At 38.6% G+C, this 25,784-nt stretch overlaps 1 protein-coding gene across 18 annotated transcripts in view, besides 1 other annotated feature; it reads right to left on the bottom strand.

The window, feature by feature from the left end:
* Nucleotides 1–25,784, bottom strand: part of LRRC4C (leucine rich repeat containing 4C) — a 1,345,454-nt gene that overhangs the window by 522,467 nt on the left and 797,203 nt on the right. For all 18 annotated transcript variants that reach the window (XM_017018075.3, XM_017018073.3, XM_017018077.3 and 15 more), the window contains one exon: nucleotides 11,477–11,613. The gene's annotated coding sequence lies outside the window, so the exon portion shown is untranslated. The remainder of the gene's footprint in view (nucleotides 1–11,476; nucleotides 11,614–25,784) is intronic.
* Nucleotides 11,633–12,832: an enhancer, noted in NCBI's record as "CDK7 strongly-dependent group 2 enhancer chr11:40669848-40671047 (GRCh37/hg19 assembly coordinates)". NCBI's record gives its function as "activates an origin of replication core promoter dependent on BRD2, BRD4, P300/CBP, MED14 and CDK7 cofactors, with strong dependence on CDK7, by STARR-seq in HCT116 cells {active_cell/tissue: HCT116}" and the evidence as "EXISTENCE:reporter gene assay evidence [ECO:0000049][PMID:35650434]".

Genomic DNA, 25,784 nt, shown 5'->3' on the forward strand with positions numbered 1-25,784 from the left:
ATATAGTATATAACATGTAACCACAGCATCTTCAACTAGGCAGTGGAAATAAGATCTCATGACTGGCCACATGAGATCCTTCCTAACTCACTCAAAGATTCATTTTCTTCATGAAAATGTCCACAGTCATTTCTGGGAATCTCAGTCCCATCTCACATTGCTTAGGAAATGTTCACTCACTCTGTCTTCTTTGGCAAGGTGCTATGCTACCATCTCCCTTGGCAGTGAGCACCCTGAGAATGCCGGTCTGAGGCACAGTCATCTTCCTCTGATGGCCCTTCAAGATCTTCAGTTGACAACATTGCACTGGCATCTGTGGTAGGAGGATCATTCCCCCCTTAACCCTGCAACTGATTTTAGCATCTGGGCCCCCAGAGCAGCAAGGCTTATCTCCCAGGTTAATTAGTCTTCCAGGCACTCAGATTCTTTAGTTTCTCTTCTAACTCTAGGAACATTTTAAAAGTGCCTTTTGGCAAAACCAAGTTTTATACCATCTTCTTCATTTCTACTGTTGCTTTCTTCTCTCTTGGGCAACTCTACCACACATCTGCCTCTTCTAATATTTTAAGCTAATTAAAAAAAAATTACCCCCTCCTTTGTATGTGAAATAATTTGCCTACAGGCTTCAACGTCCACCAATTCTATGGCAGGCAATCTCTAAATTTCAGTCTGGACACGATAAGATCAAGTGACTAAGTATAGAATTAAAACAGTATAGAATTAAAACTAAGTATAGAAATAAACAATATTTATAGAGTGCTTTCATATAGATTACCTTGTTCAAACTTTTAATTATCCTTTGAAGTAGATATTATTTATTTTTGCATCTCCTTCATCTTAAACTTACTACAGTTAACAACCACCTCCTTATCTTTCACTCCAAATCTCTCATTCCTTAGAGCTCTCTACCTCAGTAAATGAAATTTCAAAGCTTCCATTTATCAGACCAAACATGTTGGAGTTCTTCTTAATCTCTTTCTTACAACCTGTCTTTAATCATCTCACACATTAAATCTACTCAAAATATATATAGAATCCAACCAGTTCTTACCACTTTCACATCTACCACCATGGTCCAAGAAATTATCATCTTCCACATGGATTAGAGCAATAGTCTGCTAATTGTTCTCCCTTCCACTCTCATCTCCCTTCAGTCTATACACATCACAGAAGCCAGGGAGATCTAGCACCTTATTCCAGTTCTTCCCACCTCCAGGACTTCACTCCTTAATTCTAGGACTGGCTAATCTATAGTACCTTGTGTTCCTCAAATGCACAAATCATGCTCCCACATCAGGGCCTCCCCACTTGTTTCCTCTACTGGAAAGGTTTTCTCCCATATGTTTGCATGCCTCAGCTTCTCACCTTCCTAGCTTTCTCAGCTTCATAATGATTCCTTCCCTGACTGTCATTTAAAATTGCAATGCACTCCCATGCAAGCACTACCTGTTCCTTACCTACTTTATATTTTTCTGTAGAACTTGTCCCCCATTCAACATAACATATTTACTTAAAATTATTTTGTTTTACTTTTTTGCTTATTGACTATCTCTGTCCACTAAAATATGGGTATGTGAGGGTTGATATTTATATTTGTGTTGTTCTCTGCTATATCTCCAAAGCCAAGAATAGTGTTTGACTCATGGGGAGTGCTCAATAAACATTTGTGGAATTACTGAATTAATCAACACATGCTAAGCAATGCATGTGTCTGGAGAATTACTGACTTCTGTTCCATTTCTTCCTCTGTAATTCATTGGCTCTTAACCTTGTGCATAAGTCTCTCTTAGTCATAATCTTATTTGCCTCATCTATAAAATAGAAATAATTGTAAGGATGTTAACTAAAATGATAAATGTGACAATGCCTCGGACATAGTATACATGAAGCAGATGGTGATTGCTATTGCTATTATTAAAATATTTTTAATAACCTGTGGGATGCCATTTTCAATCTTAATTAAATGGAGGAAGTTCTACTTTTTTCCACAAAGAATGAAGGCACATGAATTAATTAAAATATATAAAATAATACATGTGTCAACATCCAGCTCAGGGTCTAATCCATAGAAGGTCCATAATGAATGGTTTTTTCAATTGGTCGAGTTTTTTTTTTTTTTTTTAATTATTTGATGCACTACATTTCTTGACTTCAAAAGTAGTTTAGCATCATGAGGAATTGGAAGGATTTTGTAAATTATAAGACTTAATATACGATGTTGCTAAAAGAGTTCCTTGCCTAGGGGTTCCCTATTCAATTTTTGAGCATGCAGTGGCCAAGAATATGGATTCTTCAAGGCAGGCTTAACAGCTCCGAGGCTCCGAAGTTGGTGGCCCTTTGTTAAAGAGATTTCTTTTTCAACTTCAGGAAAATCCTCAAGGCCTTCCCTGGTTTTTATTTCCTATCGAAAGTATGAAAATTCCTAGGGAGGAATTCTTACAAGTTTTCATCTTGCAGATATCTTACCCCCAAAAAGTAACACTTTGTTAAGGTTGTTGAAAAAAAAAAAAACTCTCTAGTTTCCATCAAAATCAATTCAGCTAATTAGCAAATATAATATCATGTGGTATAATTTTCTTTTGCCAAATCAAATGAAGGCAAGTCAGACTTTTACCAGTAGAATACTGAAGCCCCCTTGCACTGGCCTGCACCAGCCTGTAAGAGAATATTCTACACTTCTCTTCCCAACTCAGACTTCAGTGACATCACATTGGTGGGTGAAATGGCTATAGGGGCAGTAGTCACACCACAGAAACATGCAAATATTACACATACTACAAATTAGAGCCAGAATTGTTCTCACAGAGCTGATTTTTCAGTACACCATTGGTTCTACCTTGTTATTTTCAAGTATATGAAATAAACACCCATTCGCTCGACAATTTGTTATTGCTGCGCCTTCTTTGTGCAAGGCATTCAATTTAGGAGTCACTCTCTGTAATAGATGCATGCCATTTGGTTGAATAGAAGTTTGTCTCAAATTGTTTTACTGCCTTAAAATTTCTGCTTTGTGGTGTGGTTTCTTGAACAGTAAATGTGTCCTGTGAAACATTTTGCTTTACTGCAGCGATATTTCCCTGTATTTGCAACATGAATATGGAGTTAAAGATGTAAAATCTAAGAAATCAAGCATAATGAATTCCCGTGATTTTTCAGCATATTTGTCACCGGATAAGAAAAAGTTGAGGGGAAAGTGATGCACGGCCAATGTTATGATTGTTTCACCTAGTGGATTAAGCAGGATTGGAGCCTTCACATAGACTGATTTTTTTTTTTCAAAAGGTTCTTCAGCTCCACCTGGAAACTTCTGAAATTATGTTTGATAAGTTGGAATATATCAAGGAGATGCAATCACTCTGATTATATATTCTCAGTTGGCTACCTATCACTTCTCAGACCTTAACTAGGTCATGTGAAGGTAGCTTAGAAAAACTGGGTAAATCGTGTATCACACAGTCAGAAAAACTGTGAAATCACATTCAGGATGATGACAATAAATAGTGGCTGCCACTCTTTTACACGTATTTTTAATACTTTTAATATTTTATTAGCTTTTATATTTCTAGCTTAGCTTTGAAAATAAAATAAATATTGTGTTAAGATATTTCTCATGGGCTTTTTATCTTTGAACTAACTTATACAAGTCCTTTTATTTCTATCCTATTTTGTCTTACTGCGCTGACGGAAGAAATATTCTGAAATACAAATTTTTAGATTTGTCTTTTCTCATGAACTATTGCCTTTATCATGTTAGGTCCTTTTTAAAGAGGTGCAATATTTTTTTCTTCAAGGGGTGAAGCTTTTCAAATACCTAGAGAAACAAATATAAACTATACGTTTTCTATATATTTTTTTTTAAAAAGGATGAAACAAACCCCTAATATTTTAAATAGGTTATAACAATAGGAATCTCTCCTCCTAACCAAAAAATTGTTTTTTATTTCTAAGTTTCTAATAATAAACTTATTTTGTTTCATAATACCAATATATATTTTTAAATGATATTTTGATTCTGAATAGAATACAATTAGATTCAAAAATACATTGTAAGAATACATGGCAAATTTGGCCAGGCGCCATGGCTCACGCCTGTAATCCCAGCACTTTGGAAGGCCAAGGTGGGCGGATCACGAGGTCAGGAGATCGAGAGACTATCTTGGATAACACGGTGAAAACCCCTCTCTACTAAAAATACAAAAAATCAGCCGGGCGTGGTGGCGGGCGCCTGTAGTCCCAGCTACTCCGGAGGCTGAGGCAGAAGAATGGCGTGAACCTGGGAGGCGGAGCTTGCAGTGAGCCTAGATTGCGCCACTGCACTCCAGCCCGCGCTACAGAGCGAGAGTCCATCTCAAAAAAAAAAAAAAAAAAAAGTAAATTTAAAAAAACCTAATAAACTTGTGCATCTCCAAGCCCACATAATAGGATAGTCTTCAGTTAATATAGACTATTGTTTATATTGAGTACTATATAGCACTCTGAATATTTCCATTTGTGGCAACTACAAAGTTTAAGGCAGATAAAATTACTTCCACAATATTCCAAATGTTGGGCGTTTTAAGTTTAGAGTTCTAAGCCTAATTTTCTATATAGGGAACCTATCAAAGTGAATTTCTATAAAATGAAGTGTACAAGAATAAATATATTTGACCTATTTTAATGTGCCATTCTTATTCACCACTGAAAATTGCTTGTAAATATAAATTTAAGTGTAAAGTAAAAATCATCCTTCTTCAAACCCCACTCTTTCTATTTATTTTATAGCTCTAGGCACTCATGAAAAGCTTTTCACTCAAAGAGCAAGCCAACGGAATAAAGATCAGAATTTTACTATTATTATTAATCTTGTGAATATTCACTATTAGGAAGCCCCCTAAGAATACATTGCCTTATCAAATATACAAAGTCAAAGTTGATGCGAAGAGTTTATAATGTAGGTCAGAAAGAGGTCTTTTTTTCTTTGCCTGTTATGAGCAGAGACCTCTCCTGCTTTCTCAGCAATCCCCTTGCCTTGCATTAAACATGGCTTACTTTTGCTTCATCAGGGTTTGTAGCATCAGCATTATTGCTTGCTCTCCATCAGGGTTCTTGCTGGTTTGCCTCCGGCATCCCTGGTCCAAGAGTGAAGTGCTGGAGAGTTTGTTAGCTGTGACTCTGACTTTCCTGTCAAGGCGTTTTTATATTTGCGAATAGTTATTTCCTTAGGTACCTGGAAAGTCATTGTTTATGTGATTCCGCAGTTTCATAGACTTTATCATAAATTGACAAAATTCAGAGCCCTTCCTTGGGTGATGTTTCAGGTTAAAATTAATGCTCATTTTCAAGGACAGCCATGTCAAATCTTGTCACCACAGGCTGCTTTTTTTTTTTTTTTAACTCATTGTAATCATTTTGTTTTTGCTTGTGTGTCATGGGTGGGTGGGATTGACATTTGACCCAAAGACTACCAGTCTCTCTATATGGTATAATATGAAGCTATTGCACTTGACAGTTGGGGCAAGAGAGTGTGTGATTTAAGGCATTTAATTTAAAATATATACAAGTATATGTGTAAAGAATGATGTTTGTCTTTCTTCTGCTGCTACAGTAATCACTTGAGTTCATTTGTAGAGATAAGATTTTACAGAAATAATTCGCTAACTTGATAAAGAATAAAGAAATAGGAAATGTGACATATTGTATCTAGAAATGTTAAAGAATTCCTTTTCTGTAGAAGTTTTGGAAGACATAAAACAGATTACTTCCCATCAGCTGAATGTGATCTCTCTCCCTCTGTTAACTCCCATAGCAAGCCATGTGTGATGACTAATGTACTACATTAGGCACTAGCAGCAGACAAAGATGAACAAGACACTGCCTTGCTCTGAGAGATGAAATATAACTTTTACCTTGTATGTTATAGCTATGTTGATCTATTTTATCACTGTTAATGGCCCTGTATTATTTGATAATTATTTCTGTATCATACATATTTATGGTCCCCTCAGCACCTAGAACATTTAACACACAGATCAATTTGTTAAATGAATTCATTTAATAATTATTCTTTCATTCAACAATTATTTGCAAGCTCCGACTATCTAAGGCAATTATCTCTTTAAGATGGTTTTGCATGTATTCCTACTCTGACAGGAAATAAACTTAGTAGAGTTATTTTTTCTTTTTGTAAATTCATAGTTCCACCTTGATTATTATGTTAACATTTTAGACATCAAAAAAGAACCATCAAAATATCTACAAAAATGCTTCCAAGGGACTTCCACTTACAGAAGGATAAAATAGAACTTTTTTCCTTCCTATTTATCCCATTAAAGGCAACCACAAATCCCAGATATTATATTGGAAAAATGCTTAAGAGGATCTTGAAAAGTAGAGTGAAGAAGGAAGACCATACAAAAAGCTCTGAATCCAAGTAATGACATGGTGGTGAGTTCCTGGGTTTTTGTTTTGGCTCCATATTTCCCAGATTTGGAGCTGAAGAGATCAGAAACCCAGAAATGGCAATAGGTACATATATATACACACACACACAGAGAAAAAACATTTGACTCTTTCTGGCCAAAGGACAAGGATAGAGCAATTTAATAAGACAGAAAAATTTGAGGCAATTAACACTTTCATCCACCCATACATAAGAGAAAAATGTATGGCCTTATCCTCACCTAGGCCATCAATGCCCTAATGAATAATCTACATTTCTACCTTCACCCGGCTATGACAAGGTCCCCCCAATTTCCATCAGGGTAGCGTCAAAGAAGATCACACAGAAGCCAGGACATTCATCCCTGCCAGGCAGTAACCAGGCCACCCTCCACCCTTTGTATCATCAGTGGAGATAACATAGGGATCCTGAACTTCTACCCCTACCATCCCTATATGTTGGGATGGTGTCAAACTAGGCTTAGAGGAGAGTCAGGACTTTCACCACCACCCAGGAATAATGACACCAATACCCAACCCCCCTGCCGTCCACCAGCACGGTGTCAGTGGTGAACAAGTTGGTAATAGTTACAAGTCATTCCTATTCCTCCCAGCCAGGGAGGTATCAATGGAAGTCTAATGGGAGCTGGAAGTCCTGTCCATGCCAGTGGTAATAAAGAGCCCCTGCCCACTCATATATAAGCAAAGGACAGGTGAAAAAACATGAGCTTCTACCTCCAACTGCCATTAATTCTACTCCCACTTCCCCTACTAGAGCAATATTGGAGAAAGCCAACCAAAACAGAAGGTTTAAACAATATCCAGAATCTCATAATATCATACTCAAAATGTCTAGGTTTCAACTGCAAACTACGTATTCTACCAACAATCAGGGAGATTTAAAATGAAATGGAAAAAAAACATTAGATGCTAATATCAAGGAGAGCAAATGGACACCCAGCAAATGCCATAGACAATAAAATAAAATTTGACTTCAGTTTCATACCTTATAAAAATTAATTCAAAATGGATTATGCACTTATAACTAATAAATAAAACTATAAAACTTTTGGGAAAAAAATAAAGAAGATAAACTTTGGAGTCTAGAACTAGGCAAAGAGTTCTTAGACTGGAAACTAATAGCATGGCCGTAAAGCGCAAAACTGATAAATGGGACTTCATCAAAATTAAAATCTTTTGTTCTGTAAAAGGATTAAGAGGATGAGAGGACAAGGACAGGAATGTAAAAAGTTACAGTTACTCTGGAAAACTCTTCAGCAGTTAATTTTAAAAACTAATTATGCAACTACCATACAACCCAGCAATTGTTTGTCTGGCCATTTTTTCCCTCAAAATAAAAACTTATATTTACAAAATGTCTGTACATGAATACCTATAGTGAATTTCTTTATAATAGCCCCAAACTAGAAGCAACCAAGACATCCTTCAACAGGTAAATAATTAAACAAACTGTGGTATATGCTTACCAAGAAATATTACTCAATAGAAAAAAATGAACTATTAATGACCTGGATTAATCTTCAGAGAATTATACTGAGTGAAAACAGCCAATGCCCATAAGCCACATACTGTGTGATTACATTTAAATAACATTCTTGTAATGACAAAGTTACGGAAATAGAGAACAGATTAGAAGTTGTCAGTGTTTAAGGGGGAAGTTAGAGATAGGAACGAAGTGGATGTGGCTATGAAAAGGGCAACAGGAGGGTCCCTTGTGGTGATAGAAATGACGTGTATTTTGACCGTAGTAATATCAATACTCTGGTTATAGTATTGTACTATGTAGTTTTGCAAGATATTGTCATTGGGTATAAAGGGGGAACAGGCACTCGGGATCTCTGTGTTTTTTTTTTTTACAACTACATGTGAATGTACAATTATTTAAAAACTAAAAAGTTGAATTAAAAATTCAGTCATCAGCAATATGACATCTACATATTTGTATCTCTACTGCACGGCAATCATATGAATGTCCTTAGTTGATTTTAAGGAATACCATTCAGTTTATAGCCCTGATACCTAAGTGGCCATGTTTTCTATAGAATTCTGACATAAACCTCAATCTAATGCCACCTGACTAAATCAGGAATGGCACTTGACCAAAAGTCAAGCAAATTTTAATTAAGTCATATGCTATGATCTCAGTGATCAGGTGAATTGAGCCAATCATATTCTCTCTTTTGAAAATTTAAACACACAGACACACACAAACATAAACACACACAGAACAGGCTGTGTGCTTTTTATTAAATTACAATCTCTCAGTTCAAGTCCACCCTCCTCTTGCTTTGAGATGCTGGGTCTCGGTCAGTGCAAAGCATATATTTTCCTTTGCCACCTGGCTCCCTGTTTGCCAATACAGGGATACAGAGGGAGAATAGAAGCTTGAGAGGGAAGTAGAAAGTGCTTCCTGCTTCTGACAATGTCGCCCTGTTTATTCCAGTAGCCACTGCAAAGCAGTTGGTTCTATTTTATACATTTTTCTACAATTCAGGAAGAAAAAAACCTAATCGCACTCTTTCCTAGTGATAAAACAGCACTAGCTGGCTGGTACCCCATCCTCAGAAATGTGATTCCAGCTTTGCCTGTGGATTCCTTTCTAGTTTTCAGGCTGTAACACTGGCTGAGTACCATCCCCCACAAAATTCTGCATCCCAGCTCCGTGGGTACCCCAATCTGAGTTTCTGGGGTACAGCCCCAGCTGGCAGCCTCTCCTTAAAGGAAAGGTTCTTAGCTCTGTGGAGTCCTTGCTGAGCTTCTAAAGTCCCTCTATTTTTCGGGGGACACCCTCACCCAAGACTCCTGTATTCCTTTTCTTCAAAGCCCCTCCTCCAGTATTCTAAATTCTAATAATCTCTGACTCTTACTTTTGTCCCTGCATCCAGGATATCCACTTCCTGTAATTACTACCTTTATGATTCCTCAGTGTTTTTTTTTTTTTTGCCTTTATTATTCGCCAATAACTGGCTAACCATTCTTTGATAATTCTGCCTATTGAAATAAATGGTGTGGTTTCTGTTTCCTGAATGTAACCTGATTCACACAGGTCATTAGCAGCAGGAGCTGAAGCTGTTAAAGGGAAAGCAGCTGCAGAGGCCATGATAGGCTATGTGCAAGGCAAAATTTTAAGAGGAACAATTAGTAAAAGGCTAAGAAAAATAATCAGAAACAAAAAAGAACAGAAATGAATAGACATTCAGGGAGAAGTAGAGTTGCAAAAAGTTTAAAGCTCCTGTTGCTCATAAGAATGACACAAGCATATAAGAAGCTTCTAGAACTGCCTTTTTTATTCTTGTTTCTTAATTTGGTTTCAGTTCCAGCCCACACATGTTGCCAGAAAAATTCCCTTTTTACATGGGTCACCTAAATGAGCCTTTTTTCTCAATAAACAAAAGAGCCTAAGGAAACAACATCCTTCCCTGTGTATAAATAGAAAGACCAAGTTTGACGGCAAGGAAAAAAAGACAATTACATATGCTTTCAAAAAGAAAGATTCAAATCTTCTCTCTCTCTCTTTTTTGGAGACGGACTCTTGCTCTGCCGCCCAGGCCGGACTGCAGTGGCACTATCTCGGCTCACTGCAAGCTCCGCCCTCCGGGTTCACGCCATTCTCCTGCCTCAGCCTCCCGAGTAGCTGGGACTACAGGCGCCCACCACCGCGCCCAGCTAATTTTTCGTATTTTCAGTAGAGATGAGGTTTCACCGTGTTAGCCAGGATGGTCTCGATCTCCTGACCTCATGATCCGCCCACCTCGGCCTCCCAAAATGCTGGGATTACAGGTGTGAGCCACTGTGCCTGGCCAAGTCTTCTCTCTCTTTTTGGTTGATATTTCTATTGAGTGGCTGTGTTTACCTCACCATTGCTTCCTCATCTTTAGAGAGCACTTCACACTTGCAAACACCTCCATAGCTAGGTTCTTATGTGACTCTCCAAACAAAGTGATATCTCTGAAGATAGATTAACATATCTTCCATTCAGCTTAATCTACATAATGTGTAAAGAAAGGGTTATCTTTTGGGAGGATCATGAGTTATGAATGCAGGACAGACAGCTGTTATAAATGCAACTGAGAGAGAGCTAAATATTAATAGGAAAATGCATGAGCAATACCTTCTACCTTCATTTCCAGTCCACTTACAACATTTCTACTTATGCCTTAAAGCAGCAAAAATAATTCAAGTATTTGCCAGTAAAAGGGAAAGTACAAACTTCTCCTCTACAATGGTGCTTAATGTCACTATAATTTGATCTTTTTTTTTCCTTAACACAGTGAAACCCCACAAATGAAAAAAGAGATTGTTTCAGTTTTGCAGAGCTGATGGCTTCTATTTCTAGGTGTGAGTCCCCTTGACTCTTGATGGTATAACAATTATTAACTACAGAGGATGCCACAACCCAATCCTCCAGCTTACAAACTGCCACTTGTTTTGAGTCACTTAGACTTTCATTCTTCCCCACTGGTTCATTCAGACAAGTACAACTTTTCCAATAGCCCAACAGAAAATATTTTCATGCTGTCACCACATAAAGCTTTCCGATCTCCCCAGGTTTTCAAAGAGAGAATCGAAAGCCAGCTACCATTCCCAAACACTTTGTTCCATATTAATGATTGAACCACTGCCCCAGTTTCAAAGAAAAGGAGCTGGGGCATCACCATTTGCCTGCCTGTTTCATTCTGAATCCCAAGAAGGACAATCTGCCACTCTTTCAACTCCTGGGGTAGCGCTCAGAAACATCTGTTTGAGAAACAGTTTGACCCCTACCCTTCTGCATAAATCACTACTGGTAAAAGTTTTATGAGGTGGCAACTTTTTCCCCCTGCTTTCTCCTTTTGTAACTGACTGAAGCCCAAATGAACAAGATGAAATGGCCAGACATTTAGCCATATGCTGGCATCCACATGTGTACATTCGGGAGGGAAAAGAAGCTGTCAGCTGTACCAAAGGAGAATTATAATGATCTGAAATGTAATTAACAACCCCATAGTCAATGAATCTTTGAAGGATTCTAATGGAAAAAATTATACCTCTCACTTACCTGTAGCAAATTGTTCATGGACCCGTTTCTCTGTTTGCAAAACTGGAACCCACTTAATTTATGGCGATTCCAAAGTAGTCTCAGGATGTTTCCATATTGTTAATCCGCATAAGTTATTCTTGCTTTTCCAGTAACTCCTACATAAAATAGAAGAAAAAGATATAATTAGGATTATTTAATGGTCAATAAATGCTGGTAGATTTTAACACCTAGAGCTCACACTAAAAAAAAATTAAAAAACACACACACACATTGACCATTTTTATTTTTTGTATGATAGAAAGTAATGGGAAAAATATTTTCTCTTTTAAAAACTATATCAAATGTTATGGTCATTTTGTAAATACAGTTACACCTAGTAGTAGATCTCCAGGTGACTGGTAAAGGCTAAATAAAAGTTTATTGATTAGAGACTCAATATAATAGTTTTAATTAAAATTTGCTTGTTACTTCATGAGGTAAGAAGGTGGAAAGGAATTTAACATCTGAGATGTTACCATGGGCCTGGGCTATGTGAATTGCTTTTACATGTATTATTTTATTCAGTCAGCACAGTAATATTTCTTAAGATCTTGCTATCCACACTGTCTAGCAGATGCTTTTGTTAGCCTCATTTTTCAAATTGTAATCGGGAGAACCCACTCCCAATATTTCAGCGTAGGTTCTTTCTATTTCCCATAAGTGTCAGCCAGCTGAGAAATAAAGAGAAAGAGTACAAAGAGAGGAATTTCACACCTGGGCCTCCGGGGGTGACCTCACATATCGGTAGCACCGTGATGCCCACCTGAGTCACAAAACCAGCAGGTTTTAATTAAGGGTTTCAAAAGGGGAGGGGTGTACAAAAGGGAAGTAGGTCACAAAGATCACAGGCTTCAAAGGGCAAAAAGGAGAACAAAGATCACATGTTTCTGAGGAAACAGGACAAAAGGCAAAACAAAACTACTGATAAAGGTCTGTGTTCAGCTGTGCATGTATTGTCTTGATAAACATCTTAAACAACAGAAGACAGGGTTCAAGAGCAGAGAACTGGTCTGACCAAAAATTTACCAGGCTGGAATTTCCCAATCCTAGTAAGCCTGAGGGTACTGCAGGAGACCAGGGCGTATTTCAGTAGTCCTTATCTCAACCACATAAGACAGACACTCCCAGAGCGGCCGTTTATAGACCTCCCCCCAAGAATGCATTCCTTTCCCAGGGTCTTAATTATTAATATTCCTTGCTAGGAAAAGAATTTAGCAATATCTTCCCTACTTGCACATCCATGTATAGGCTCTCTGCAAGAAGAAAAATATGGCTCTATTCTGCCCGACCCCGCAGGCAGTCAGACCATATGGTTGTCTCCCCTTGTTCCCTGAAAATCACTGTCATTCTGTTCTTTTTCAAGGTACACTGATTTCATATTGTTGAAACACACATGTTTTACAATCAATTTGTACAGTTAACACAGTAGTGGTCCTGAGGTGACATACATTCTCAGTTTATGAAGATAACAGGATTAAGAGAGTAAAGTAAAGACAGGCATAAAAAATTATAAAAGTATTAATTTTGGGAACTGATAAATGTCAATATTAAAATGAAATCTTCACAATTTATGTTCAGAGATTGAAGTAAAGACAGGAGTAAGAAATTATAAAAGTATTATTTGGGAACTGATATATGTCCATATTAAAATGAAATCTTCACAATTTATGTTCCTCTGCCACAGCTCCAGCCAGTCCCTCCATTCAGGGTCCCTGACTTCCCACAACAAATTGTAAAGCAAAGACTTATAAATAGGGGAAGTTAGATAATAAGTCCATTTAAACTGAATACCATATTCTCTTGTTTTAGTCAGATGATGGGGAAGACCATTGATTATTGCTTTGTTTTGTTTAAATAATTAATGTCAAAATATTTTTTGTGTTAAATCTGGCCTAAGACAAATGAAAAGAGTTATTTTGGCACTAGGCTAATGAAGAATTCCAAAAAAAATAGATAATGAATTTCCTGTCACAGTATATCCTAATTATGATGAAACACCTTAACGAGTATTAAATAAAATTTGTAGAAGGCTGTTGTTTTGGACTAAACTCCTGCAATAGGCCCCAGTAGACCAAAGCAAAATGGAGCCACTCATGTTAAGTGTCATGAAGACGAAGTGATACTTTAAAAAACAGGAAAATTTCCAAACAGTCCTTTTTCTTTTTTCCAAAATAACAAGAGATTCACATAAACCATCTGAAAAAGGGCCAGTCATCCTGACCCAGCATGATAACTGTCTTTACTTTCCTAACAAGGAAAGTAACCTGACAGTAACCAATCTTCTTTTATGTATATGCTGTTTCCTTGTTTCTGCTCAAGCTACCTTTCAAAAACTGAATGTTCTGCTATATCCAATGAAATGCATTCCTATTTTTATAGATGAGATGCTGCCCAATTCATGAATAATTAATAAAAGTCAATTAGATTGTCAAACCCAAATTGTTGAAATTTTGTTATTTGACATCACATAATTTTTTTCTCCATTACACTTGTTTTGGCCTGAAATTGCACATCTATTTAGAATTCACAGTACTCTTTTAACTAAGTTTAACAAAAATAACTTCCTGTGCATCTGAACTATATTACTTATTTAATTTAACACTCTCTTATATTAACTTGTTTTTATTAAGAAACTCTCAGCCATGGTAGTTCTCTTTGGCCAGCCCATAAGAATCATTATGACATGACAAACCACCCATTAATGCCCTCTTGTTCCCAAAAATAGCCAGCCACAGAAAACCCTCTGCCTCTCACATTAAACTTCTCTCATTTGAAACATCCCTAAACTGCACAAGTGCCCCCTTGTAGCCAACAAATACTTGTAAAATGTACCATTTAGAAAGCCTCTCTAGTTTCCAAAATCCCATCTTAATAGAACATTTGCCAGTCAGGTAAGTCTGACTATTTTTGCATTTTACACCCTAAAATTTACTCCTCTTCCTAACACTTTGGAAACTTTGCTTAAATGAAAGATATAGCAGAGGTATCCCCTTGCCACAAGTTTATGAATAAAGTCTTTGTAAATTTTTTCTCAGACTTAGTTTTGATCAGTGTCATTCTGTTTTATTAGAGGAATATTTAGGATAATGTGTAAGTCTAGAGGGAAGTGTCTTAACACGTTCATCAATTTGCTGATCCTTCCTGGTACATAGTAAGAAAACATAGTAGAACTAATTAAAAAGAGATGGGGGTGGGGGAGAGGAGAGAGAGAGAGAAAGAGACAGAAAAAAGTCCTGAATTACATGGGAGAATGAATACCAAGGTTGGAAAGTAGAATAAGTGATTGTCCAATTCTTGTTCAATTTATGAAATACTAGAAGACACTTAATCTACCACTGTCATATGCCACTTTTAAAATTTAATAAAGTATCCATCTATTGGAGATCCTCTATAAGCTAGGTACCAGTTAAGCGATTTCCATGCATTGTCTAATTTATTCACTAGGGAAAAATTAGTGCATCAATGGAAAACTATACGTTTAGCACACCCTTCTGCTTATCAGAAGGTGATTCCATGGAAGAAATCTACAGAATTTACAACTCTGCAAATTGTAAATAACTGCTAGAAATGCAAAATCATTTTCCTCTGTAGGCAATTTTTTTCTGTTCAATAGTGTGGTTCATTTGACTTCCTTCTCCACTGTGGAAGAAGCTAGTTTTGCTTGCATTTATGTATCCATTTCAATATTTCTTATTTATGCGTGTCTTTATTTTGGATTTTCCTTTGAAGTGGCTATAATACTGTGGTTCTGTCATTGATAAATGAGCTATGAAAAGTCTTTAATGTCTGTTCATTTTGTATCTGTATGAGAGTTGTGATTTTAACTTTTTTGAATTTGATCTTTTGACCATTCTTTACAAAAACTCAATTGGGGATAGATATTATTGAATATTTTACAGAAAAGGCTTAGCAGGGTCTCATTACTTTCCTGAAAGCCACAAACATCCACCGTGCACCTCCTGACTGTTAGGTACTATGCTAGATGCCACGGCTGCAAGCTGAACAAGGTTGTCTTAAGCCTCAGGGTCAAGGAAACAAGAATAAATCTTTAGTGAGGGTTGCCTTGCATGTAAGCTGCTTTTCATAGATATCTAGGATCTAAAAACATTTAATGAATACTTACTACCCCAAATTCACTTGCTATATAAAATATTGAACTCAAATAGATTCAAACAGTGTTATACTCTTTATCTCAACTTGCTCTGTGAACTCTTGCTAACTAAATTCAGGAAGGAAATAGACTTGTATAGGAAGAGATACTTGATTATTATCTTCTAATTCTTCAAGTCACCTTATGAGGTAGACATTCTTCCCATTTCTATAGACAAGAAAAATGAGGCTCAGAGAAAGTAGTGTTTAAAAAATGTAACAGCACTAAAGAATAGGAAGAGATAGCAGGATCACACAACCCAATGTCTTCATTTAATAGATGGAAAACAAGAGTTCATGGGATACAGAGTAGCTCCCTAAAATCTCACGTCCAGCTAGGAGCAGGGCTGGATGCTCCAACAATTGCTTCTACCTTCTACTGCATCTTTCTACTTATCTGAGACAGTGAGGAAGGAGAATGGACCACATATCAGAATCAGTGAGAAAAGAGAGAAAAAAATTCTTAAACTTCTTTTAAGATTTTCAGGAGGCCCCAAGGGCTCTGATATGGTTTGACTCTGTGTCTCTGCCCAAATCACCTTGATTATAATCCCCATAATCCCCACATGTCAAGAGTGGGACCAGGTGGAGGTAATTGAATCATGGGGACAGTTTCCCCCTGCTGTTCTCATGCTAGTGAGTAAATTCTCATGAGATTTGATGGTTTTATAAGCATCTCATTCTCTCTCCAGCCACCCTGTGAAGCGGTGCCTTCTGCCATGATTGTAAGTGTCATGAGGCTTTCCCATCTAAGAAGAACTGTGAGTCAATTAAACTTCTGTTATAAATAAATTACTCAGCCTCAGGCAGTTCTTCATAGCAGGCTGAGAATGTACTAATATAGTTAGTTGGTACCAGGAGTTCGGTGCTGATATAAAGATACCTGAAAATATGGAAGTGACTTTGGAATTGGGTAACAGGCAGAAGTTGGAACAGTTTGGAGGGCTTAGAATAAGACAGAAAAGTGTGGGAAAGTTTGGAACTTCCTAGACACTTGTTGAATGACTTTGACCAAAATTCTGATAGTGATATGGACAATGAAGACCAGGTTGAGGTGGTCTCAAATGGAGATGAGGAACTTGTTGGGAACTGTGGTAAAGGTCACTCTTGCTATGCTTTAGCAAATAGACTGATGGCATTTTGTCCCAGCCCTGGAGATCTGTGGAACTTTGAACTTGAGAGAGATGATTTAGGGTATCTGGCAGAAGAAATTTCTAAGCAACAAAGCATTCAAGAGGTAACTTGGGTTCTCTTAGAAGCTATTCAGTTTTATGCATTCACAAAGATATGGTTTGGAATTGAAACTTATGTTTAAAAAGAAAGCAGAACATAAAAGTTTGGAAAATTTGCAGCCTGATGATGCGATAGAAAAGAAAACCTCATTTTCTGAGGAGAAATTCAAGCTCACCACAGAAATTTGCATAAGTAATGAGGAGCCAAATACTAATCACCAAGAAAATGGGGAAAATATCTCCAGGGCATGTCAGAGGTCTTCATGGCAGCCCCACCCATCACAGGCCAAGAAGCCTAGAAGAAAAAACTGGTTTCATGGGCCAGGGCCCAGGACCTTGCTGTTTTTTGCAGCCCTGGGACTTGGTGTCCTGCATTCCAGCTGAACATTTTTAAATTGGGCCAAGGTACAGCTCAGGCCATTGCTTCAAAGGATGCAGGCCCCAAGACTTGTCAGCTTTCCTGTGGTATTGATCCTGAGGGTGCACAGAAGAATTGAGGTTGGGGAACCTCCACCTAAATTTCAGAGGATGTATGGAAATGCCTGCATGTCCAGAGACAAGTTTGCTGAGGGGCATAGCCCTCATAGAGAACCACTGCTAGGGCAGTGTGGATGGGAAATGTGGGATTGGAACTCCCACACAGAGTCCCCGCTGGTGTACTGCCTAGTGGAGCTGTGAGAAGAGGGCCACCATCCTCCAGACCCCAGAATGGTAGATCCACTGACATTTTGCACTGTGTGCTGGGAAAAGCCACAGACACTCAATCCTAGCCCATGAAAGAGGCTGGGAGGGCTGCTATTCCCTGCAAAGCCACAGGTGCAGAGCTGCCCAAGGCCATGAGAGCTCACTTCTTGCATCAGTGTGCCCTGAATGTGAGAAATTGAGTCAAAGGAGCTCATTTTGGAAGTTTAAGGTTTAATTCCTGCCCTGTTGGATTTTGGACTTGCATGGGACCTACAGCCCCTTTGTTTTGGCCAATTTCTCCCATTTTGAATGGGTGTATTTACTCAATGCCTGGACTCCCATTGTATCTAGGAAGTGATTAACTTGCTTTTGATTTTACAGGATCATAGGCAGAAGGGACTTGCTTTGTCTCAGATGAGACTTTGAACTTTGACTTTTGGGTTAATACCGAATTAAGACTTTGGGGGACTGTTGGAAGGGCATTATTGTTTCTTAAGTTGAGGCCATGAGATTTTGGAGGGGTCAGGAGGGAGTGATATTGTTTGGCTCTGTGTTCCCACCCAAATCTCACCTTGAATTATAATCCCCATAATACCCACGTGTCAAAGACAGGACCAGGTGGAGATAATTGAATCATGGTGGTGGTTTCCCCCATGCCATTCTCTTGAGGGTGAGTGAGTTCTCACAAGATCTGATGGTTTTTTAAGTGTCTGGCATTTCCACTGTTGTCACTCATTCTCTCTCCTGCTGCCCTGTGAAGAGGTTCATTTCACTATGATTGTAAGTTTCCTGAGGCCTCCCCAGCCATGCAGAAATGTGAGTCAATTAAACCTCTTTTCTTTATAAATTAACCAGTCTCAGGTACTTCTTCATAACATTGTGAGAACACACTAATATAGGGTCCCTTTTCAACTTCATTTACCTAGTTATTTATTCATTTAGCTGATCTGAAGATTTATCTGAATTCATTTTCACATCTACTTTAATATAATTTTGCATGTGTATTAATCTCATACTTAAGTAATACCATGTGTTGATTTCAATATTTCAAAAAGGCAGTGACTGTCATCATTCATAATAACACAAAGGCTATTTGAATGATCAAGTGCCATTGTGGCTGATTGAAGTAAACTCAAGGAGGTAACCATGTGTTTAATATCAACCTGGAAGAACAAGGGAATAATTTATCTGGTTAATAAATAAAAATATGGCAAACATGCTATTATTAAGTCTATGGGCTCTGTTCAGTAGGAAAAATAATATTGGGTTCACATAACAGAAGGAAAATACTAGAAGAGATCTTGGTGGTAAAAGTTTTGCAAACCACTTTGCTATATTGTACTGTTGCCTCTGAAGTTTGAAGACCTCTACAGAAACCCACTGTCCTGGACAGCTTTGCACTTTGCTCACAAATTCAGGTAGAAGATCCCACCACTGGCACAACAGGAGGAAAAGAATCATTTCTTATTATTCCCACGTGAAGAGTGTGGCTGAAAATTTGGCAGATCTCAAAATCTCTGGCAGAGTGTATTAGTCTATTCTCACACTGCTATAAAGACTTATCTGAAACTGGAAAAGACAAAGGATGTTTAATTGACTCACAGTTCTGCATGGCTTGGGAGACCTCAGGAAACTTACCATCATTGTGGAAGGTGGAGGGGAAGCTAGGCAAGTCTTACATGGCAGAAGGAGGAAGAGATAGAGCGAAGAGGAAATCGTCATACACTTTTAAACCATCAGATTTCATGAGAACTCACTCACTGTCATGAGAACAGAAAGGGGAAAATCCACACCCATGATCAAATCACCTTCTACCAGGTCCCTCCCCCAACATTGGGAATTACAATTCAATAAGAGATTTTGGTAGGGACACAGAGCCAAACCATATCATGGAGTAAACTACCTCTTAGCAGTTTATAGTCCAGAATCTTTTAGACCCACATCCTTATGACTGCTAACTATAAAAATAAAGCAGATTCCGTACTGTTTTTCTTTTTTTTTTTGTCCACTCATCTCTAATCCTTCTTTTCTACTCTACCTTCCCTATTCTCCCATTCTTGTTTTCTCCTTTTTTCCCTAATTTCCTCCTCTTTTTCACACAAGTGTTTATATGAAAAATATATGGCCATATATACTGAGTGAGCAGGCTTATTCTGCATCACTTCTCAACAAGCAGAACAGAGAGGCCACCTGATATTTGTGTCCCTAGTATGGTAAGAGTGCTTGTATTACAGAAGTGGGTCACTTTTTTTTTTTTTTTGAAAAAGGCAATACATTTATTGCTTGATGAACTCTATTTATGTCCTTTCAGCCATTCACAACATGCCTCTCACATTGGGCTGATTTTGTTTAAGGCCTTCACGCTCTCGAGAGACTTTCCCTTAGGAAATTTACAAACCTTCTGTTCCTTTCCAAGGCATCAAAATTCTAATGAAGTTGTGTACTATGTAAACCTATGCTAATTTTAGTCATTATGCAGATGTCCAAGTATATTGTAGGTTTCCACCTAAAAGTGTTATATCCCTCTAGAGTCAAAGGTACCTGGATGATCTGTTGATCTTTTTGTTAAAATATCCATATACCACAAGGCCACCAAATTTGTCAAACTTCTTCCAGTTAAACAGAATCTCCTAAAGTGGTTGGTAAATTGAGCATTGTAGAAATGCAGCTTGTATTTAAAATTTCATGATGAAAAATAAACATTTTAAGGAATGTTAAATTTTTATTTTGGCACAATCTCCTGCTTTTGTTCATTTTAAGTACTTCTGCTTTAGATTTCATTTAACAGGCTCTATTTGGCTACCTCCAAGCTACCAAAAAAAGTGTAAAAAACCATTTTTAATGTTTTATTTCATATAATCCTAAAGACAATTTTAAAAGATCTGCCGCGAATGAATCATTGTTTAACAGAAAGAAATTGATACTTAGTGAAGTTTCAAGGTATGGCCAAGACTACACAGCTATTCACTTGTCTCACAAGTGTTAAAACCCAGACCTTATGTGAGTCTTCATGTTTCTTCCAGATGTACTATAGGTCTTATTACTTTAAAAATGTTGAGTCTAATGATTGGTCTAAGCTGGAATTTTCTCGTATAAGTAGCTCCAAATATTTAAATGTGAATATGTGCTACACTGTAAGATGCTTCAAACAGAGCCATGTTCTCTGTAGGGCATGAAAGGAAAATATCTTGGGCCCCCAAAATGACTAAACTGAAAGAAAAACTCAAGGTGGAAACTGCTTAGGGCAAACCTGTCTCCCATTCTATTCAGTTATCTCTCTGCTCACTAAGATAAATGCATATCTAGTTGTCTCCTTTGGAAAGACTAATCAGAAACCCAAAGAATGCAGCCTTTGTCTCTCACCTATCTGTGACCTGGAAGGCCTCTCCCAGATTGGAGTCTTCCCGCCTTTGCTTCAAGTTGTCCTGCCTTTCCAGACCAAGCCAATGTACTTCTTACATATATTGTTGTCTTCTGTCTTCCTAAAATATATAAACCCAGACTGTGCCCCGACCACCTTGGGCACATGTTGTCAGGACTCCCTGAGGCTGTGTCACAGGTGAGGGTCCTCAACCTTGGCAAAATAAACTTTCTAAATTAACTGAGACCTGCCTCAAATCTTTGGGGCTCACAAGGGGAAATAGGGAGCCTTCCACTTAGCTTCATGTCCAGTTATATCTATAATATCAATATAATTGGATTAAGGGCAAAGAACAAGGGCAAGATATACTAAACAACAAAGCCAGACTTTTCACATGGAAGTAGGTACAAGTTGACAGTTTCTTAGTTGCACCCAATCTCTGTAGTCTTTCCACATACCTGAATCAAAGAGTCAATATTTTCTAAGAAGCAAAACATCATTAAAATAAAGAATGTTATCTTATAGTAAACATTAGATCAGGACACATATTAACTCTCCCTTATATGTGTCCTTTATATTATAGGAAGGGTAAGGAATTTGGTGTCCCATAGTAGGCAAATGTGGCTTCAAACCTTTATGTAGAATTTAGAACACCTGCCCTTGGCTCTTGCCTACCATCTAGGCTTGACATGAAAGCTAAAAGAGCCTTATTTAAGGTTGAATCATGATGCTTAAATACTAAGGCTCACTAATAGTTAGAAATCTCATCTTATCTCTTTTGGCAGTAGGTTTATTTCATGGTTCTGTAACCATAACACTTCTGTTGCCCAGTGTTCATGTCAAGTCAGTATGCTGAGACACTGGGTTTCAGTAGAGAAAGGGGTTTAATTGTAAAGCTACCAAAGAAGAGATGTGAGGAAACCTCAAATCTGCCTTTTCAAGGAGTTTTGGGCTAGAGTTTTTAAGGGTTTTGGAATGAGTCTAAGTGTGGGTGTGGCAATCGTTGACTGGTGGAAGAGTGCAGGGTGAAGTCATGGGACAGGAAGATGAAGAAATTGTATTCTCAGGATGATTTGGTTCCTCTCTGGGGGTCCTTAAACTGGTTGGTATCAGATGTTCTGCTGGAATTCAAAATCTGCTTAAGCAATTCTTAAACAAGTTTTAAGATTCTAATGTCAGAAGCCCTAGGTATAGGAACAATGGAAATGCATATGGTCAATATCTAGTGTTAAGTAACTTTCCCTTACAAGAATGTGGGTCAAAGTGATAGCAGTGACAGCCCATCTGCAATGACCACTGTGGGGATGCCGGCTGCAGCAGGGGAGGAACTGCTGGGGCTGCATGCTCTGGATAGCCAGCAGGAGCTGGGCAGAGATGAGAGCCCTGCACCCTAATGAGTTGGCAGGTTGGGAGCCCCATGTTCCCTGGCACAGCTGCAGCCACCCAGAAATGGCTCTGGACCCAGGCATTGCTGCACTCTTGGGGGCCCAGGAAGCCCCTACATCCATAGGCTTGGAAGATCCTGCTCCTGTGTCTGGCCTCTCCCTGTTCCTGGCACCCACTCCAGTGCAGAGCAAAGTTGTGGCTGAGCTCAGGCTCTGTTGTGACCCAGTCAGATGTGCATGCACTTGGAGCAGTGCTGACATGCCAGTCCCCTGCCACCTTGGTCCTCTCTGGACTTTGGGCCCTGATGAGGGCAGGAAGGAGGCTGGGTGGTGGCAGGAACAGCCTGTGGCTGTGGATGGCATGTTGATGGCAGAAGGCAGATAGGTTCCCAGGCAGAAAGGAGGGGGTCCCTGGTGAAACCCTACCTTCAAGCCAGGGATGTCCTGAAGCCTGGGGTCCAGGCTACCAATTCCAGGTGGAGTCCATGACCTGGAGTCAGAGCTCATGGTGCTTTTTCCAGCCTGCCCTTGGTTGCCCATGGACCAATCAGCATGCACTTCCTCCCTTGTGAGCCCATAAAAACCCCAGACTCAGCCAGACTCACAGAGATGTTGAGACTACCAGCTATGGGAAGGAACTACCAACTTAGGGTATCTTTGACTTGTTGGGAGGACTTGCCTGTGGAAAAGAGTTACCCACAGAGTTACCCACTACAGCTCTCCTCTCCATTTAGAGCTGGACATTCTCAGGACGACCTGCCTGTGGAAACAAGCTATCCACTTTGGGTCTTGCCTGCAGAAACAAGCTATGCACTTCAGGTCTTCTGAGAGCTGTTCTGTCACTCGAGAAAACTCCTCTCCACCTTGCTCACCCTCCAGTTGTCCATGTACCTCATTCTTTATGGATGTGGGACAAGTACTCAGGATGTACCAAATGGTGGGACTGAAAGAGCTGTAACACAAACAGGGCTGAAACATACCCCCCTGCTCATCACATTGCAGGCAACAAGAAGGATAAAAGATCTAGGGGCTCCCTGAGCCAGGGCTGTGACACCCTCTCTGGGGCTCTGCAGTTCCTTGTGTTTCCAAGCTTCTGAGCGCCACTGCATTCTCCTTGTCCACACACAGGTGCCTGCAGTGGAAGCTGCTTTTGGTACCTCTGATCCAGCCACAGCCTTACACAGAGCTGGAACCTGTGCCAGCACCTGGAGCTGCCTGCCCCACCACAGCAGCTGGTGTGCCTGGCAGTGTGCAGTGGCTAGACCTCATGCTTGCTCGCTTACACAACCCTTGCCACTCAGCACCTGGATTGCCCTCAGCAGGCATGGGATCTAGGCCAGCAGCATGAGTGGAGTGCAGCCTGCTGGGCCAAGTGGGCAGAATAACCCCAGCAGGCCCAAGCAGAACTCGGGCAAAGGCACCACTGGCCACAGAAGTTTCTGGCTGGAAAAGCAAAACCCTAAGGATCCTGTGACAAAAGTGCAGCCTTATTAATGCATGGTTATAAATATATTTCTGTCCAAAATTCTTGCTAACCTTCTGAGGATGGCTTTAGTTCCATTCTAATGAGAGGCCAAATCCTATATCTCGTTGAGACATTTGCCACATGTTGTTGCTGCTTCTGCTGAATATGTCACAGAGCAAGTATGAAGGCAAGTAAGCACACAATGATCTCTTCCTGATTCTTAGAGTCCAGCAGGCACTGACACCCCCACAGGACTCAAGCTCCAGTATCAATAAATGCAATCATCTCCTGCACATTTTTCCAGCTTCTTTTCAATTTGATAGTTTTGTGCCCATTTACCATGATAATTTCCACAAGAATATATTCTCACCGTGTGAATGTGAACACATAATTTATAACGAAAGCTAAAACAGAAACACTAATATTAAAGATGAAATCTTTGCAAATTATGTCCCAACAAATAATAAATTTAATAGAGGATCATGAGATTCAAATTGCTAACCATAAGGAAGAGGGAATGTATCACCTAATATTGTTTTACTGAATATAAATGAATAAAGGGGTTTCTTTTTATTGCATTTGTGTCACCAGCATTCCAAATCTCAATGGGACTTTTGACATAAACATACAATAACGAATTGAATTATTAGAATTACCATGACAATATCCTATCTGGCATCTTCAATCAAAAGCATGATAAATAATGATAACTGATATAACTCAATAAAAATGTGTTAATATATTGATTGCAAAAAGGAGATGATGCCAATGTGTATCCTGCTTTCTTTTCACTCTTATCCTAACATTAGTAAATAGAATATCATCTATTTTCTAATGATTTGAAACAAAATTTGAGTTTAAACATACTTATATTATTGTATTTAGCTGTTCAAGTCTCACCTGCCTAAGAAAGCATCAAAACAAGATGTGCAAAGCATATGATATGACACATACAACAACTGTTTGAGCTAGGTTTCTAGGATGAACTTGAATTTAAGGAAAATCATATCTATTTTTTAAATTATTATTTCCTTGGGAATAAAACAACATTATAATCATCTGCATTCATTATCAAGTCATACTCAGTTTAACTCCAAACTGTCAATCACTGACTTTCTCACCTTGAGCTAGTTACTCTCTGAGCTTGTTTTCTCCTCTTTAGAAGGTGGTAATAATGGTATTTAACTAAAAGTGTTTCAGTTCAATATTAAATAAGATAACCTATAGAAAGTAGTAAGCATTACCTCTGACATATCATAAATGTTCCATTAATGGTAGCTATTATTTTTCACTTATCCCAAAAGCATTTTTTGAATTGCTACTAACTGCTATATGCTCTATTGGGAAAGATGCAGATGAAATAATCCTGTGAGCTTGATTCTTTATAGTCTATGTGTCAACTCTGCTACCTTCTTGTTACACAAACCCCCAACTCTAAACCCCAAATATAAGCAAATCAGAACATCCGCAGAGAGAAGTAAAGAATGAAATCCATGTTGCAGAGACATTTATCTAAATTCTGTGGAGAAAAGGAATGAGGAAGCTGTCATATTAGGGGAAAGTCCACAAATGGACAGTATGTGTGTTACACAAATTCACTCTTAGCATTTATAGATACCTAATGAATGGAGGCTCACATTCAAATGTCTGAATATTTAAAAGTTACAAATCATGCTAAATAATTATTAAATAAAATCCTTCTATCATCTGCATAATGTCCTGCAAGGTCAAGCTCAAAATTAGAATTCTCAGATTCCTAGAAGTGTTTTTACTGAAATGAAATGTCAATCCTAGGTGGCCAGATCACTTCCTGAAGCCCATATCTTATTCATTCTTACCCCTGTTAAGTCCAGCTTTGTATAAGAGACCCCACAGGAATGCATGTGGACACTCTAGCCTACATGTCCAAGATCTGACCACAAACCCTATATAAAGTCTACCTTGGGCTAGAGGTACCCATTACAGTAGTTATAGCTGCTCTCAGGAAGACACAATGAGAAAAGACAACCTT

Source organism: Homo sapiens, chromosome 11 (genome assembly GCF_000001405.40).
Source record: "Homo sapiens chromosome 11, GRCh38.p14 Primary Assembly".
In the NCBI taxonomy this organism is placed as follows: Eukaryota; Metazoa; Chordata; class Mammalia; order Primates; family Hominidae; genus Homo; species Homo sapiens.